The sequence below is a fragment of the Homo sapiens genome, chromosome 13 (assembly GCF_000001405.40).
Source record: "Homo sapiens chromosome 13, GRCh38.p14 Primary Assembly".
Lineage (NCBI taxonomy): Eukaryota > Metazoa > Chordata > Mammalia > Primates > Hominidae > Homo > Homo sapiens.
This window is the reverse complement of record NC_000013.11, coordinates 75,615,454-75,633,132: the sequence shown is the minus strand read 5'-3', so window position 1 is coordinate 75,633,132 and position 17,679 is coordinate 75,615,454. Positions and strand designations below refer to the sequence as shown.

Below are 17,679 nucleotides of genomic sequence, written 5' to 3'. Positions count from 1 at the left end.
CCAGCGCTTTGGGAGGCCGAGGCGGGCGGGTCACTAAGCCAGGAGTTCAAGACCAGCCTGGCCGACATGGTGAAACCCGGTCTCTACTAAAAATACAAAAAAAGTTAGCTAGGTGTGGTGGCAGCCACCTGTAATTCTAGCTACTTGGGAGGCTGAGGCAGGAGAATCACTTGAACCCAGGAGGGCAGAGGTTGAAGTGAGCCGAGACCACGGCACTGCACTCCAGCCTGGGCAACAGAACGAGACTCCATCACAAAAAAAAAAAAAAAACTTTTAAGTAATTAGTGAATACCTCATATGTGCTAGATGTTATAAGTGACACAAAATTTTAAAATTCTAGATGCTGAATCCTATGCACTATTCAGTCCAGTAGGACATTCTGCAAGCTTCACAAGAATTATTATTATTAGAGTTAATATATACATACATTACACTATTTAAAGCTGCTGCTGTGTAACTAGCTTTGGGGGCGGCAGCCCAGAATGTTAAGAAGTGCACAGCCTTGGGGATCTGAATGCCTTACAATATTAGCAAGCTACCAGAATCACTAAGCTTCAATTTCTTCATCTGAATAATGGATAATACTTCAAAGGATTGTTGTGAGAATTAAATATGATGGTGGATATAAAAGCCCAAGGCATTGCTTAGCATAGAGTAGGCACTCAATAAATGAAGGTTGAAGGTTATTTCCCTTTGGTCTCTCTTTCTAACAGTGTGTCAGATTTTTCCTAAAAAATGGAGATTTCATGTATTTGTTCAAATAGTTATATGGAAAGGCTGGAGGGTTTTGCAAATCCTGTTTCAAGTCAGCTCAGGCACCAATCACTGCTTGGCCTCTTTAATGTTGAAAGTTTGCAACTCAGAAGACCCAAATATAATTCTTTGCCTCCTAATATCAGTCATTAGAATGTTTTACCCTTCTGGAAAGATTTCTACAGCTCTATAGAGAAAGGTACAGCACCTGCCTTAGGAGTTTGAGATGAAATTCACAACAATAAAACATCAAAATTTGTATTTATTTTTCAAAGGAATTTGAGATACCTTTCAATATTTAAAAATGTAAAACAGTACAATTGTCATGTATTGATGCATTACTGATGAACTCTTGATGGGAGAAAGGGGTACAATCTTTCTGGGAGGTCACTGGGCAATAAATATAAAAAGTTTTTCAAATGCCCACACTCTGTCCCAGCAATTCCACTTCTTGGAATTTATACCAAGGACCTAAGCAAACATATATGCACAGAATGAGTAACGGCGGTAGACACAGAGATGCCCCATAGGAGTGTCATATGAGGACTTGCTTCACAGGAGGACTTGCTACTTGCTGCCCAGCCTTGGAGAGTGTGGTCAACAGATACCCCCAGCTATCAGCTCCTTCAAAGTTGGCCTCAGCTGCAGAGTGCAGCCTCACGTGAGGTCCTTCCCCTCCCAGGACAGCCCTCATCTGGTCAGTGAATGACTTAAGATTATAAAAGCCCAGCCATTTCCACCCAATGGGACAACACTGATAGGCCTTTACAGTAGACCCTGGGGTCTGCTGAGGCTGCAGGACTGTACCACAGTTCACCTCCCTCACCCACCCCTGCTTCTTCCCTCTTCCTTTCACAGGGATCCAGCCCTAGTTAATATCTTATACCTCCAATGCCATTTCTGTCAGCTTCTAAAGACTCAACCTGTGATGGCATCAAGCATGACATGTTAAGAATGAGAATCCCAAAGCTACCAAAACCCCCAACAATAGAGATGATGGAGTAAATTATGGTTCCTCCATAGTGAGATATTGTGCAGTCATTAAGAATGTAAAAGGAGGCCAGTTGCGGTGGCTCACACCTGTAATCCCAGCACTTTGGGAGGCCAAGGCGGGTAGATTGCTCAAGCTCGGCAGTTCAAGACCAGCCTGGGTAACATGGTGAAACCCCTACTAAAAATACAAAAATTAGCTGGGCATGGTGGCACGTGCCTGTAATCCCAGCCACTTGGCAGGCTGAGGCCTAAGAATTGCTTGAACCCGGAAAGCAGAGGTTGCAGTGAGCCAAGATTGCACGACTGCACTCCAGCCTGGGCAACAGAGAGAGATTCTGTCTCAAAAAATAATAATAATAATAATAAAAAGTAAAAGGACATTCAGTGGCACAGGGAAAGAGTTAAAATATATTGCAAAGTGAAAAAAGGCAGGCCAGGCACGGTGGCTCACGCCTGTAATCCCAGCACTTTGGGAGGCCAAGGCAGGTGGATCACCTGAGGTCAGGAGTTCGAAACCAGCTGGGCCAACATGGCGAAACTCCATCTCTACTAAAAATACAAAAAGAAAAAAAGAAAAAAGAAAACAGGCAGTGTATAAAGCACCTTATCTGGGTTTGTATTTTTTAAATGTTTAATTTTGGCCACATAGAACAATTTGGGAAAAACATCACTGAACTTTTAACAGTGGCTATTTCTTTTTTGTTTGTTTTGTTTTGTTTTTTGAGACAGGGTCTCACTCTGTCACCCAGGCTGGAATGCAGTGGCACTCATTTCAACCTCAGCCTCCCGAGCTCAAGTGATCCTCCCACCTCAGCCTCCCGAGTACCTGGGACTACAGATGCATGCCACCATGCCTGGTGTAATTTTTGTATTTTTTGTAGAGACGGTGTTTCATCATGTTACCCAGGCTGATTGCAAACTCCTGAACTCAAGCAATCCACCCGCCTCAGCCTACCAAAGTGTTGGGATTACAGGCGTGAGCCACTGTGCCCAGCTGCCAACAGTGGCTATTTCCAAGTGGAGATTTTGTACTTCTCTCTTTTTTCCAAGTGTTTTTACAAAAGACATGTATATTACTTTTATAAATGAGAAAATCTGTATGATACAAAAATAAAACTGGGTTTCCATATCTACAGGTTCTATATCTGCAGATTCAACCAACTATGGATCTGGGTGTAGGGAGTAAGGGAAACAATGAAAAATTACAACAATTAAAAATAACACAAATGTTAAAAAACACAGTATAACTACATAGTATTTACATTGTATTAGGTAATATGAGTAATCTAAAGATGATTTAAAGTATATGGGAAGACTGTGTAGGTTTTATGCAAATACTATATCATTTTATATGAGGGACTTGAGAATCTGTAGGTTTTCGTATGAACAGGGGTCCTAGAACAAATTCCCCCAAATCCTGAGGGATGACAGTATGTCCAAATCTGACTTCTACCTCATCCCACAACCTTCAATCCCCTCCTGCCTTTCCTGATTTGGTAAATGGTACCATGCCTAAAATTTGAGGGTCATGCACGACTTTTTGGTCTCTCATGCCAACCCCATTCCCTGTCTTGTCAATTTTATTTCTACTACCTTAGTTAAGTCTCTCATTAGCGCTCAGCTAGATTTCAGAAACAGTGATGACCTTCTTGAAATCTAACTCTTAAACCACCAACACACTCCCCACTCCTGCCCCAATTAACCCCTCTTTAAAGGACTCCCAGTGGCCTTTAAAAACCATCTGACAATTGCCAGCACATTAAGTGGTGTCCTTCAGGATCTGCTCCTTCCTGCTTCTCTAACCACGACTTGACCTGTGCTTCTCCCTTTTCCAGAAATGTGTTTCTCTCCCTTCCTTTGCCTTGCTTTCTCTTACCTATTCTTCCAGGCTCAATTCAGGCCTCTTCCTTCTCAGAAATCAAAAAGCTTAGCAGATCCTCCTGAGCGAGGTGAGGCATATCTTCTTTATGCAATCATAGCCCCTTTCACAAGGTATTATATTGCCTCTTTTCCTCACTGAACCATAAGCAATTTAAGAGTGCCTGGCTTGGTGCCTGACACATATCTAGTATTCAACAACTGTTTATTAACTGGAGTGTGTATATGTAAAACCTATAACTTAATGTACAGAATTAATAAAGCATTGATAACAGCAGAGTAGAAAATATGATTGCTTAGTGCCACTGATACAAGAATTTCCTTACAGGAGGGTCTCTCAACAGAAAGGCAATTGACAATCTGGGTCGGATAATTCTTTGTTAGGAGGATTGTCCTGTGCATCATAGGATGTTTAGCAGGATCCCTGGCCCCTACCCACTAGAAGCCAGCAGTTTCCCTGTAGTAGAAGTAATAACCAAAAACGTTTCCAGACACCGCCAGACGTCCCCTGGGGGCAAATCAGCCCCTGTGGAGGACAACTGTTCTACACAAAGAAACTGGCTTTGTTAGAAAATGCTTTTGTACAGTAAAAGTGAACCTTAGGCCCAAGTTTCTTGCAGCAAGTGGTGGGGTAGGGTGGAGAGGAGTTAGGATGAATTGGGCAGAAAAAGGCTACTCTGTGTTGTAAAGGAAGAAGGGATGGGGCTGAATGGTGTGTGGACAAAGATTATAAGAGAAGAGGTCCTGTTGGCTGGAAATAATTGAAAGAAGAAACAGATATACTGGGAGTTCTTCTAATAAAAGAACTGAATTTTGTACTTTGATTGGTTATGATTCAAAAAAGCGTCTGCCCTTATAAGTTCAGAAATAACCAATATATGGATTATGTGTGTATTTCTCATGCTTATATGACAGCTTAGTTAACACAAAGAAGGACTAGAAGGTAGATTAAAAATAAGTTTAATAAGAATTATACCTATCCCATCTCTACCCCATTTCTACCCACAAAAAATACATCCTTCAGTGTCAGTAATAAAAAGATGTGATGTTGTCAGTACTTACATAATGGTATTCAGACAAGAAGGTTCAATTCCATACTTGGAAATCAAAGCCAGAGGAAAAGGAAGCCAAAATGTTACAGATAATGATTAAGAAATGAACATAAGAGGGAAAACATGTATGCACCAGAAAGCAAAAGGAGAAAAACAAAGTGAATCCCATATCAGAACATTCCTCCAAAAAGAAGACAAACCTCCAGGAAGTTTCCAGTGCAGCTTTAGGATGATGAATGCTTCACCCAGTGGACAAAGGCAAGGGTCCTAAATTTGTCTTCTGAAGCTACTGGATTGTTAACTGAGAAGGGATAGATGAGAAGCCCTCAAGTTCTTATCGACCTTTGTCTCATGTACACAGACATCTCATTAAGAGATCAACTGAGATGGTAACTTTCAAAACATGGGACCAACCCCATAATTTGAAAAGCAGTTGGTTGTTTTCTTCCTACTATAAAGATCTTAAGAGCTTTTTTTGAGGTTTTTGTGTTTTTTTTTTTTAACAAGTAGAGGGGTTTCCTATCATTGAACTAAAATCATTTAACATAAATCCAAGACCTTTTTTAAAGGTCCCCCATTCTAGCTAGAATTGCAAAACCACATTATAATTCTCTAAGTGATAGCAGTGAGATCAAAAGGACCTACCCTAGAATTAGCTTTAAAATAAACTATTGCAGCTTCTGGGAAAGAGGAAGGAGAGAATGTATGTTTACTAAGCTTCTCTTCCTGAAGCCCATGAAACGAAAAAAAAATAAAGTCTGTGTTTCCCGTAGGATATCTTTAGTAAGGATAATCAAAGATAAAAATAGTCAAGTCCAGTTTTCCCTAAAATACATTTATTTGTGTGTGTGTGTGTGTTTGTTTATGTTTTGGTAAAGAATTTCCACCTGATCTCTCATTAACTTTATTTGGTAAGAGAAATAACCTTACTATCAATTCAAATTGTTTTGCTAAAAAGGCAGGGAAAAATATTTAAGCACAGTATGCACTATATTATTAATACAGATACTCCTCAACTTATGATGGGGTTACTTTTGATAAACCCATTATAAGTTGAAAATATTGTTAAGTATTTAACCTACCAAACATTATAGCTTAGTCTAGCCTCCTTAAACATCCTCACAACACATACATTAGCCTACAGTTGGGCAAAATCATCTAATGCAAAGCCTATTTTATAATAAGTTGTTGAATATCTTATGTAATTTATTGACTACTGTACTGAAAGTGAAAGAATGGTTGTATGGATACTCTTAAGTACGGTTTTGGCTAAATGTGCATCTCTTTTGCATCATCGTAGTCAAAAAATCGTAAGTTGGAGGACCATCTGTACTTTAGAATTGTAATTGCAATTCTTGTTTACATTCTGAAATTGGACTCAGAGAGGAAACAACCCATACATTAGAGGAAATTTATACTTCCTATAGAAGTTTAAACTACAATTTTTATAATAACCCCTTCATTCCCCTATTCTATGACTACAAGGTGGATAGCAGTAATATTTTAGCTTCAAAAAGGAAAGAATAATACCTATGGTCAACAATAATGTATCGTACACTTAAAAATATATTGGCTGAGTGCGGTGGCTCATGCCTGTAATCCCAGCACTTTGAGAGGCTGGGGTGGGCGGATTGCTTGAGCTTGGGAGTCCGAGACCAGCCTGGGCAACATGGCGAAACTTCGTCTCTACAAAAAAATACAAAAATTAGCCAGGTGTGGTGACGTGCAACTCTGGTCCAAGCTACCTGGAAGGCTGAGGTGAGAGGATGGCTTGAACCTGGGAGGTAGATGTCACAGTGAGCTGAGATTGTGCCATTGCACTCCAGCCTGGGTGACAGAGTGAGACCCTGTCTCAAAAAAATTTATATATATATATATAATATATATGTTAAGAGGGTAGACAATATGGTTTGGCTGTGTCCCCACCCAAATCTCAATTTCAATTGTATCTCCCAGAATTCCCATGTGTTCTGGGAGGGACCCAGGGGGAGGTAATTGAATCATGTGGGCCGGTTTTTCCCCTGCTTTTCTCGTCATAGTGAATAAGTCTCACGAGATCTGATGGGTTTATCAGGGGTTTCTGCTTTTGCTTCTTCCTCATTTTCTCTTGCTGCCACCATGTAAGGAGTGCCTTTCACCTCCCACCATGATTCTGAGACCTCCCCAGCCATGTGGAACTATAAGTCCCATTAAACGTCTTTTTCTTCCCAGTCTCGGGTATGTCTTTATCAGCAGTGTGAAAACGGACTAATACAGTAGATCTCATGTTTACCACAATAAAATTTTCAAAAACATTTTTTAAAGGAAAGGATTAAAGAGTACAGGACTGACTGGCCTGGAGATAAGAGACCAAGTTGTATTCCTAGATTTACCATTATTGTTAATCTGGGCCTCCATTGTAAGAGCCCAGTGATCTTAAGCGAACCTCACCCTCACCTCTACACAATGTGAAGAAACCTTACAAACAGCTATGAAATGAAGTTCTTGGCTGGTCTTCACAGCTTCAGCATGGCCTTGAAATCTTCGTGTGTACCAAGACAGGTCTGGTACTTCCTCAAGAGCTGAAAATAATTATAGGAGAAAAGGGAAGCCTTGGAGCCAGCTCCATCAGAAGATTCCCTATGAAACAAGGTAATGGAGTTTCCCTGAACATGAAGATCGGTTCAGAATGCTCATAAGGATCATGAACAACACCAGATGATCTCTAAAGTAAACCATCAAAGTCTCTCCCAAGCTCTTGGACTAGGAATGTTCTATCCATGACTCTACTATAAATCTCTTTGGTCTTCGTGGACAGAAATAGACCAGTGAAGCCAAACTACTCCAAACTCACGTAACTGAAATTCCAAAAAAGCAAATCTGTGACCCTAAGGCTTTGTCTGGACAGAGGGAGAAGACATCTATCTACAGCTTCATTTATGCTTACTGAGAAAATCAACTGGAGAGGAAGCCCTGCCTAAGACTTTAATATGAATCAAAACCACACACACACATGCACATGCACACACACACACACACACACACACACATGCACACACACTTGCATCTTCTGCTGGACCTTTACATACTCAAAGGGCTATCAGCCTCTATTATTTAAAGAAGTGCTGTCATAGTCTCTATTTGACTTCTGCGGAGATAGGTCTCTGGGCATGGTCTAGATAATCAGAAGAATATGAGAAGAAAGGCCAGAAATAATACTGCATAAATATAAAAGGCTATTTACTGTGGAAAAGAGAAATTCTTTGCTAGACATATTTGCCTTAGAGAAATGTCTCTGTCCTTTATTATGTGTTTAGACTGTCCAATCCTTGAGAATAACTGTTTGACCTTGGGAGATCTTGTGTGAATGTGTTTTATTCAAAAGGTACTCAGAGAAGACCAAAAGAAATCAGGAAGAATAAAAAAGGCCATGATTACTTCCTACTGGCTGAGAAACCTCAACACAGGCAGCATTTCTCATGCCGACCACCATCCTATATTGTGCTATAGATATTCACCACTGTTCCCATCACTTCTACTACAACTCAGACTCTAGAATATGTAATCCTGTGTGGATCCTTGTGTCTAAGAGTGTTGATATGGTTTTGCTGTGTCTCCACCCAAATCTCATCTTGAATGGTAACTCCCACAATTCCCATGTGTCATGGGAGGAACCTGGTGGGAGGTAATTGAATCATGGGAGTGGGTCTTTCTTGTGCTGTTCCCGTGATAGTAAGTCTCACAAGATATGATGGTTTTAAAAACGGGAGTTTCCTGCACAAGCTCTCTTCTCTTGTCTGATGCCATGTGAGACACATCTTTCACCTTCCACCATGATTGTGAGGCCTCCCCAGCCACGTGGCACTGTAAGTCCATTAAACCTCTTTCTTTTATAAATTGCCCAGTCTCAGGTATGTCTTTATCAGCAGCTTGAAAACAGACTAATACAGGTGGGGTTTCTCTGAACATGAAGTTCTAATAAGTTCCATAGTAAAAACAAGTCCTTCAGGTAGTGAGTAAAATATTCTTAAAGTAAGGGGGAAATTGGCCCTATGAAACTTTTATGAAAGGTGCTCTCTCCTACAAATGAGAGAAGGTGGACCTTGACATACAGCAGAGAGGCTAGGAAGCTGGATAAAGCTGCAAAGCATCTAATGTTTTTGCCTTAGATTTTGGAAATAGTCATATTCAAAATATAGGTTTACAGTAGTGCTGAGCATTGCTGTATTCTAATTTTCTCCTGAAGTGTGGAAACCTTCAGTAAAGGTGGATACATAGCTCTACTTTATGGCACCTAGAGGGTATGCCAACACCCAACCAGAGGCAAAGTGCTACCTGGGAAGGATCACTGTCTGTCATAGATGAGGAGACTGAAATAGAAATTGAGAATTCAGCAGAAGCAAACCATTGAAGCAGAGATGGCTGGAGGTACACTCTTGATAATCCATGGAGATACTGGAGGAAGACTGGGATCGTCATTCAAAGCATTCTATTTGAAAATTATAGGAGGTGTAACTCCAAAAGGTTGAATATTTAGGAATACCCAAAAGACACCTGGTTATTATGCATTATAAACTGATTGTATTCTCCCACTAGTAGAACAGGCTGGGAAAAAGAGCATTACCCATCACATCACCTTCCTAGTTACACCACAGTCAGATTTCAGTAATTTTTATCTCCCCGTAACATTTCTGAAAACAAATCTAAATTGGTAAATTTCATCAGCCAAAGTTTTCATTGTTTTGAAAGAAAAATTTTACTTGATGATACCTAAAATAAATTACCAATTTAATTATTTTTTTTTTTTTAATGCTTGGTCAGGCACAGTGGCTCATGCCTGTAATCCCAGCACTTTGGGAGGCTGAAGTGGGTGGATAACTTGAGGTCATGAGTTCCAAACCAGCCTAGCCAATATGGAGAAACCCTGTCTCTACAAAAGTACAAAAACTTGCCTGGTATGGTGGCATACACCTGTAATCCCAGCTACTCGGGAGGCTGAGACACGAGAATCACTTGAACCCGGGAGGCAGAGGTTGCAGTGACCCTAGATGGCACCACTGCACTCCACCCTGGGCAACAGAGCAAGACTCCGTATCAAAAAGAAAAAAATGCTTTGGCCTTTCTGATTCTGCCTTAGAAAATACAGAAAAATATTACCTTAATGAGAATAGTCCTTCCTGAATTTTGTTCAGTCCTCAAAATTATATCTGTGTAAAAAGTCATGATTAGGAAAGTTAAAAAACCAATACAGAAAAAAAATGAAAAGTAATCAACAAATATTTATTGAGCAACAACAAATATTTTACTGAAATTCCAAAGCATGATACTATTTAGTAGAGATGCCAAAATAAATAAATGCTGGTCCCCAAAAGAGTCAAACACAATTATATGCCCAATAAAATAGTAACAATATTTTAAGTTTAAATTTTAGAGGCACTTAGAATTATTTTTGCTTTTCTAGTGGTTTGCAGGAATTTCATATCATTTTTTAAATAACTGCAATATCAAATTAGTCTTTCATTTTAGTTTCTTCAACAAAATAATTTTATAGTAACATTTTGTGCCTGCAAAATTCTTTGCCAAAGAGGTATTTTGTTCATTAAGCCCTAGTGGCCTAAGAGAAGTTTATCGAATACTAAACCAAAAAAAGCTGGAGTTATTAACTTTAAGATCTGCTTTCAGTTGGTATCCTGATATATTCAGCCAACGCAATAAAACACAATAAAATCTTCTTATGCATAAAATTGTTGAAAATCAAGACCCATTAGTATGCACTACACTTACTGCCAGATCTATTGAATATATCTAATGTCAGGTTAGGAGAGTGATCGTAAATCAGTGTGACACCTGCCCTAAGCATCCATTTCTGGTTTGATCCCCTGAAAGAGCTCTAGACTTATAGTTCTTAAAGTACTTAAAGGCATTATCAGAGTAGAAACATTTTAATTATGAAGGTAGTACTTACAGACAATTACAAGATTTAGAAAAAGAATGAGAAAAGACTTTTCAAAGTAAATTCCAGCAGGACTTAATAATAGTGGACACAGAAACCTAAAGTGGCTTTGAGTACCTCAGTTGATGTTTCTGCATGCACTTACCACCTTGTATGTCTTATGCTGTTATAATATTTACTACAACATGTCTTATACTGTTTTAATATTTTCTCCTACCAAGGCATATTCTACCAGTGCAAGAGATCAACAATGATTACAAAATTGGTAAGAAGGAGTTAAAAATTTCCAGTCTTGTGGTTACTGACAACAAAAGTTCAGGTTGAAAATGCCTGGGAGGGGGATGAATACCCCATTTTCCATGATGTGATTACTATGTATTCCGTGCCTGTATCATAGTATCTCATGTACCCCATACATATATGCACCTACAAAGTACCCACAAAAATTTTAAAAGAAAAAAGAGAAAAAACAAGAAAATGCCCGGGGATAGTCTACAAAGTTGACTTAATTTTATCTCAGTTGCAGTATTTACTTCTTGCCTTCCTACTGACCTCTTTTCCACCTACATGTGTTCCTAAAGAAAAGCCAAATGGAGATGCTCTGCCTTAGTTCTTTCAAAGTAATAATATAAAAGTATTCAAGGAACTATTATTACCTTTTTTGCTGCAGACTCTGTCCCTGAGATACAGCCAACCCACACAGATGCAGACATGAGCACATATCAGTTGCCTCCAAATTTCCAGAGCTCCGAGCTCTGTTCTCTGGAAGAGAACATCATAGGACATCCAACTGTAAAACGTGAAAATATGGCATATCCTAATTTTCTTCATAGCAGTTGTAATAAAAAAATTAAAATAGCTTTAGACCGTACCCATATATTGAACTTATTTGCACTTGCCCTATCACTGTAGCACCATATTGAAATTCATCAAAATTCAAATAGCTATAAATGAAACATGAATGGTAATAATAACTTTAGATGTTGAAATAATTGCTCAGGGTGATTTAGATTCTATAAACATAGTTATCAAAAAGAAAAACAGCATTCTTTGCCCCCAAGAGTAAAAGATTCACATAAAAATGTTTTCCTCATGAGCAGTGTGCTTGGGTATAGTATTATTACAGGAAAGATAAAAATTCCAATCATCCTTGGTAAATTGCATGTCTGCTAACTTCAGCTATTTTGGGATTTTTAAAAGTTAAACCATTTCCGAGTCACAGAAGAAATATGCACAGTTCCCCTGTGCATGGAAACAAAATGCAATCTATTCATTCCATCTCCTTATTTAAATTCTTTAGAAAATTAGGTGAATCTGATGATTTATGAAACAATCTTTGAGACTACTTTCACTATAGCTGATTGCAGTCTTAGGACGATGGTAATAATAGATAACATTTGTGACTGCTGGACTTTATGTACTTCATTTATAATTCTCATGTAAAATGTACATGAGAATATTTTTGCTTAAGGTATTAATTTGCCTAAGACAACTCAGAGTAAGTGCCAAGAATAAAACCAGGTCTCACACCAAAGTTTGAGCTCTACCCATGAAGCAATGACTTTTACATAATTGTTAGAGATCCTAATAATGTATTTTTTTTTGTACAGCCACTATATTTTATGCCATAATCTCAATATCATATTCTCAATCAAGCACTGTGAGAACACAGAAATTCTATATTACCAAGACCAGAAGTTTCAAAGTGAAGCAATTTTCATAACGCAGCCACTTAGTGGGAAAGCCACTTAGTGGGAAAGCTTATCAATTGGATATTTGGAAAATTATTTTTCTTTCTTAAAAAGTTATATCAGATGAGATCTCCAAACTCAATGCAAGAGGTGTGTATTTCTCCTGCCCAAGATTCACTTCCCCAACTGGGTTCTAGAAAATCACTATAAGTGTGACCCTGGGGCCAACAGCCTTAAGATTATCTGAGTGCTTGTTAGAAATGCACAATCTCAGACCTCACCTACCAGCTGAATCAGAATTTGCATTTTAACAAGACCTGGAATCTCATATGCTCATTAATGTTTGAAATGTCCTGCTACCCTACCCCACCCTAGGTTCCTAATTATTCCACTTCTTTCCTGTTTTCTTAATTTCTATTTGTTTTTATTTTTTTCCTCATATGAAAACATTATTTTTAAAAGTCCTCTGCTGATTCTGCACCCTCATTCCCCTCATTTCTCTTCTTTTCTCAACCAAGTGTCATGAAGGAGGTTTCTATACTTCCTGAATCCATATCTTCTGTTCACTTCTCAACACACTGCAGTATAGTTTAGTCACCTACCAAATATCTGGCCGTTTCTATGTGCCAAGAACTGTATTAGACTCTGAGGATAAAATGGTATACAAAAGACATGGTCCTTGTCCTCAAATTACTATCCTCAAAATCATTTTGATATAGATCACCACTGATGTCTTGAATTGTCAATTCTGGGAAGCACTCTTTATTCATTATCAATAAGAGAGCACAGCTGTCCTCCTTAAGCCAGATATTGAAGAGATTTTGCAAAAATATAACAGTGCCACTTTTCTCACTAACTTTATTAAGAAAATATTTTTGGGGCCGGGCGCGGTGGCTCATGCCTGTAATCCCAGCACTTTGGGAGGCTGAGGCGGGCGGATCACGAGGTCGGGAGATCGAGACCATCCTGGCTAACACGGTGAAACCCTGTCTCTGCTAAAAATACAAAAAATTAGCCAGGCGTGGTGGAGGGCGCCTGTAGTCCCAGCTACTCAGGAGGTTAGGCAGGAGAATGGCGTGAACCCGGGAGGCGGAGCTTGCAGTGAGCCGATATCACACCACTGCACTCCAGCCCGGGCAACAGAGCGAAACTCCGTCTCAAAAAAAAAAAAAGAAAATATTTTTATAAAAATGTTATTTATGTCAACATATGATAAGCTTGTTTTTCATTTTAAATGAACAAATATTCCTAAAAGTTATTTTAATTTCTAATAGATAGAGATCCACAACTCTCTAAGCTGCTCAATAATTTTTAGAGTATAAGGGGCTCCTGATGTTAAAAAGTTTGAGAACAACTATGTTTCATATTAAAACCAGGTTGGTTGCTCAATGATATAGTTTGGATATTTGTCTCTGCCCAAATCTCATGTTAAAATGTAATTCCCAATGTTGGAGGTGGGGCCTGGTGGGAAATGTTTGGATCATGGGGACAGATCCCTCGTAAATGGCATAGCACCATCCTCTTGGTGCTGTCCTTGCACCAAAAGTGTGAGCTGTTGCAAGATCTGGTTGTTTAAAATTGTGTGGTACCACCCCCTCACCCTCTCTCTTGCTCCTGCTTTCACCATGTGATGTGCCTGCTCCCTCTTCACCTTTTGCCATGATTGTAAGCTTCCTGAGGCCTCCCTAGAAGCCTCTAAGCATTGCTATAGAGCCTGCAGAAGCTGTAGAATCTGCAGAACCATTAGCCAGTTAAACCTCTTTCCCTTACAAATCACCCAGTCTCAGGTGTTTCTTTATAGCAATGCAAGAATGGCCTAATACACTCAATAAATCCCCAGTATCTACATAGGCATCAACTCTAAAATGTATAATACATATGAATAAGTTGCTCTAAACATTTTCTCTCTGATGTTTGATTAATTTAGCTAAAGAAGTCACTTTCAAGAGATCTGGAGAAGTAAGATGGCCAAATAAAAGCCTCTACCAATCATCCTCCCCACAGGAACACCAAATTTAAGAACTATCTACACAAAAAAGCACCTTCATAAGAACCAAAAATCAGGTGAGCAATTACAGTATATTGTTTTAACTTAAAATCACTGCAAGAGGCACTGAAGAGGGTAGAAAAAACAGTCTTGAATTGCTGACACCATCCTTCCCCTATTCCCCAGCAGCAGTGAATCTGTATGCTTGGGGGAGGGAGAGTAGAGTGATTATGGGACTTTGCATTGAAACTCAGTGCTGCCCTGTCACAGTGGAAAGCAACACTTGACAGAACTCAGCCAATGCCCACAGAGGGAGCATTTAGACCAGCCCTAGCCAGAGTGAATTCATCCATCTCAGTGGCTGGAACTTGAGTTCTGGCAAGCTTTGCCAGTGCAGGCTCAACTGCTCTGGAATCCTAAATAAACTTGAAAGGAGATCCAGGCATCAAAGCCTGGACTTCGGGGGCACATGACCTAGTGGGGGACATCAACCAGAGCAGCCAAAGGAGGGTTTGCAGCACCCCTCCTCCAAGCCCAGGGAGCATAGCTCACAGCTCTGAAAAACTCCTTCCTTCCACTTGAGGAAAGGGAAGAGTAGAGGACTTTGTCTTACAACTTGGAAACCAGCTCAGCCACAGTAGGATAGTGCACAAGGCGGAGTCATGAGACCCCCATGCAAGAAGCTAGCTCCCAGATGACATTTCTAGACACGTGCTGGGCCAGAAAGGATACTGTTGCCTTGAAGGGAAGACTTAAAAGCCCTTGGGCCCTGAATAATCAGCAGCAGTAGACAGGTAGTACATGCCATGGGCTTTGAGTGAGACTCTGAGATGTGCTGGCTTCAGGTGTGACCCAGCACACTCCCAGCTATGGTGGTATGAGGAGAGACTCCTGCTTCAGAAAAACAGAGGGAAGAGTAAAAGGGGTAGTTTAGGTACCGCTCAACCATAGTGGGATGGAGCACCAAGAGGGCTCTTGTGGTCCCTGATTCTAGGCCTTAGCTCTTGGACAGCATTTCTGGACCTGACCTGGGCCAGAGAGGAGCTCACTGCCCTGAAGGATAAGTCCCAGGCCTGGCAGCAATCAACCACAAGCTGACTGAAGAGACCCTAGGGCTTCAGTGAACATCAGTGGTAGCCAGGCAGTACTCACTATAGGCTTGGGGTGGTGGTGGCCACAGAGAGAGACTCCCCTGCCTATAAAAAGGGGAGGAAAGTGTGGGAAGAACTTTGTCTTGTGTTTTTTGTGCCAGCTAAGCCACAGAAGAATAAAGCACCAGGTGGATTTTAAGATTTCCAACTCCATGCCCTGGTCCCCAGATGGCATCTCTGGATCCACCCAGTGCCCAGGGGCACTCACTAACATGAACGGAAGGACACAACCTGGATGGCTTTGCCACCTGTTGATTGTAGAGCCCTAGGGCCTTAAGCAAACATAGGTGGTAGCCAGGTAGCAGTTACACCAGGCCTGGGGCAAGACCCAGTGCTGTATTGGTTTCAGGTCTGACCCAGCACAGTCCCAGTGGTGGTAGCCACAGGTGTTCTTGTGTTACCCATCTCCCAGCTCCAGGCAGCTCAAAACAGAGAGGCAGGGGAAGGCCATTTGTTTGGGAGAGAGTAAGGAAAGAGAACAAGAGTCTCTGCCCAGTAATCCAGAGAAGTCTTCCAGATCTTATCCAAAACCACCAAGGTGGTACCTCTATGAGTGTGCAAGAACCACAGTGTTACTAGGCTAATGCAGATATGGTTGCAGTGACCACTTAGATCACAACACCCAAGTCCCTTCAAATACCTGGAAAGCCTTTCCAAGAAAGGTGGGCAAAAACAAGCACAGACTCTGAACACTACAACGAATACCTAACTCTTCAATGCTCAGACACCAATGAACATCCACAAGCATCAAGAGAATCCAGGAAAACATGACTTCACTAAACCAAATGAGGCACCAGGGACCAAGCCTGGAAGGACTGAGATATGTGACCTTTCAGATAGAGAATTCAAAATAGCCGTTTTAAGGAAACTCAAAGAAATTCAAGATAACACACAGAAGGAATTCAGAATCCTATCAGATAAATTTAACAAGGAAATTGAAATAATTAAAAAGAATCAAGCAGAAATTCTGGAGTGGGGCCAGGTGCGGTGGCTCACACCTGTAATCCCAGCACTTTGAGAGGCTGAGGCAGGCAGATCGCTTGAGGTCAGGAGTTTGAGACCAGCCTGGCCAACATGGTGAAACCCTGTGTCTACTAAAAATACAGAAATTAGCCAGGCGTGGTGGTGCATGCCTATAATACCAGCTACTCGGGAGGCTGAGGCAGAAGAATCGCTTGAACCCAGGAGGCAGAGGTTGCAGTGAGCCGAGATCACCCCACTGCACTCCAGCTTGGGTGACAAAGTGAGATTCCATCTGGGGAAAAAAAAAAAAACAGGCTGGGCACAGTGGCTCATGCCTGTAATCCCAGCACTTTGGGAGGGTGAGGTGGGCGGATCACCAGGTCAGGAGTACGAGACCAGCCTGGCCAACATGGTGAAACCCCGTCTCTACTAAAAATATAAAAATTAGCTGGGCATGGTGGTGGGTGCCTGTAATCCCAGCTACTCAGGAGGCTGAGGCAGGAGAATCACTTGAAACCAAAAGGCGGAAGTTACAGTGAGCTGAGATCGTGACACTGTACTCCAGCCTGGGTGAAAAAGCAAAATTCCATCTAAAAAAAAAAAAAAAAAGAAAGAAGTTCTGTAGTGGGAAAATGCAACTAACATACTGAAGAATACATTCTCATAATAGCAGAATTGATCAAGCAGAAAAAAGTGTAGAATTTTTATTAGTTTTCTCTTTGCTTATTTGCTAGCTTGTTTACGCAATGAGTGTTAAGTTGTTATCTGTTTAAAATAATGAGTTATAAGATAGTATTTGCAAGCCTCATGGCTTGTAATCTCAAACCAAAAAACATACAATGGATACAGAAAAACATAAAAAGCAAGAAACTAAAACATACCACCAGAGAAAATAATTTTCACTAAAAAGAAGGAAGGAGGGAAAGAAGGAACACAAGACCACAAAACAACCAGAAAACAAATAATAAAATGGGAGGTGTGAGTCCTTACTTATCAATAACAATATTGAGTGTAAATGGACTACACTCTCCAATCAAAAGACACAGAGTGGGTGAATGGATAAAAAATAAGACCCAACAATCTGTTGCCTAAAAGAAACACACTTCACATATAAAGACACACACAGACTAAATATAAAGGGATGGAAAAAGATATTCCAGGCAAATAGAAACCAAGAAAGATCAGGAGTACCTACACTTATATTAGACAAAATAGCTTTCAAGACAGAAATGATAAAAAGAAACAAGGAGGTCATTATTTAACAGCAAAGGAGTCAATT

The 17,679-nt window shown here is 40.4% G+C and overlaps 1 protein-coding gene and 1 long non-coding RNA gene across 6 annotated transcripts in view, besides 1 other annotated feature; one reads left to right on the top strand and one right to left on the bottom strand.

Moving 5' to 3' along the window:
• The window catches only part of LMO7 (LIM domain 7), a 239,437-nt gene extending 226,738 nt beyond the window's left edge, over positions 1-12,699 (bottom strand). For 2 of the 3 annotated variants that reach the window (XM_047430323.1, XM_047430329.1), the window contains exons 1-2: positions 11,265-11,369; positions 9,813-9,862 (exon numbers count right to left, since the gene is read on the bottom strand). Coding sequence is in view for 1 of the 3 variants with exons in the window: in NM_005358.5 (NP_005349.3) it covers positions 9,813-9,862; positions 11,265-11,439 (225 nt within the window). In the remaining 2 variants the exon portion in view is untranslated. Of the gene's footprint in view, positions 1-9,812; positions 9,863-11,264 lie in introns of all 3 variants that reach the window. The other variant, NM_005358.5, reaches the window with a different exon arrangement.
• Positions 1-17,679, top strand: part of LMO7-AS1 (LMO7 antisense RNA 1) — a 31,295-nt gene that overhangs the window by 2,862 nt on the left and 10,754 nt on the right. The window contains exons 2-3 of one of the 3 annotated variants that reach the window (NR_120410.1): positions 10,830-10,873; positions 14,227-14,363. The exons of 1 other annotated variant lie outside the window; for it this stretch is intronic. This is a non-coding gene — a long non-coding RNA (LMO7 antisense RNA 1). The remainder of the gene's footprint in view (positions 1-10,829; positions 10,874-14,226; positions 14,364-17,679) is intronic. One more of the 3 variants, NR_120411.1, reaches the window with a different exon arrangement.
• Positions 6,392-6,530: a silencer, noted in NCBI's record as "fragment chr13:76200739-76200877 (GRCh37/hg19 assembly coordinates)". NCBI's record gives its function as "represses an EF-1alpha promoter that drives an FKBP-Casp9 reporter gene in an ReSE screen in HepG2 liver carcinoma cells {active_cell/tissue: HepG2}" and the evidence as "EXISTENCE:reporter gene assay evidence [ECO:0000049][PMID:32094911]".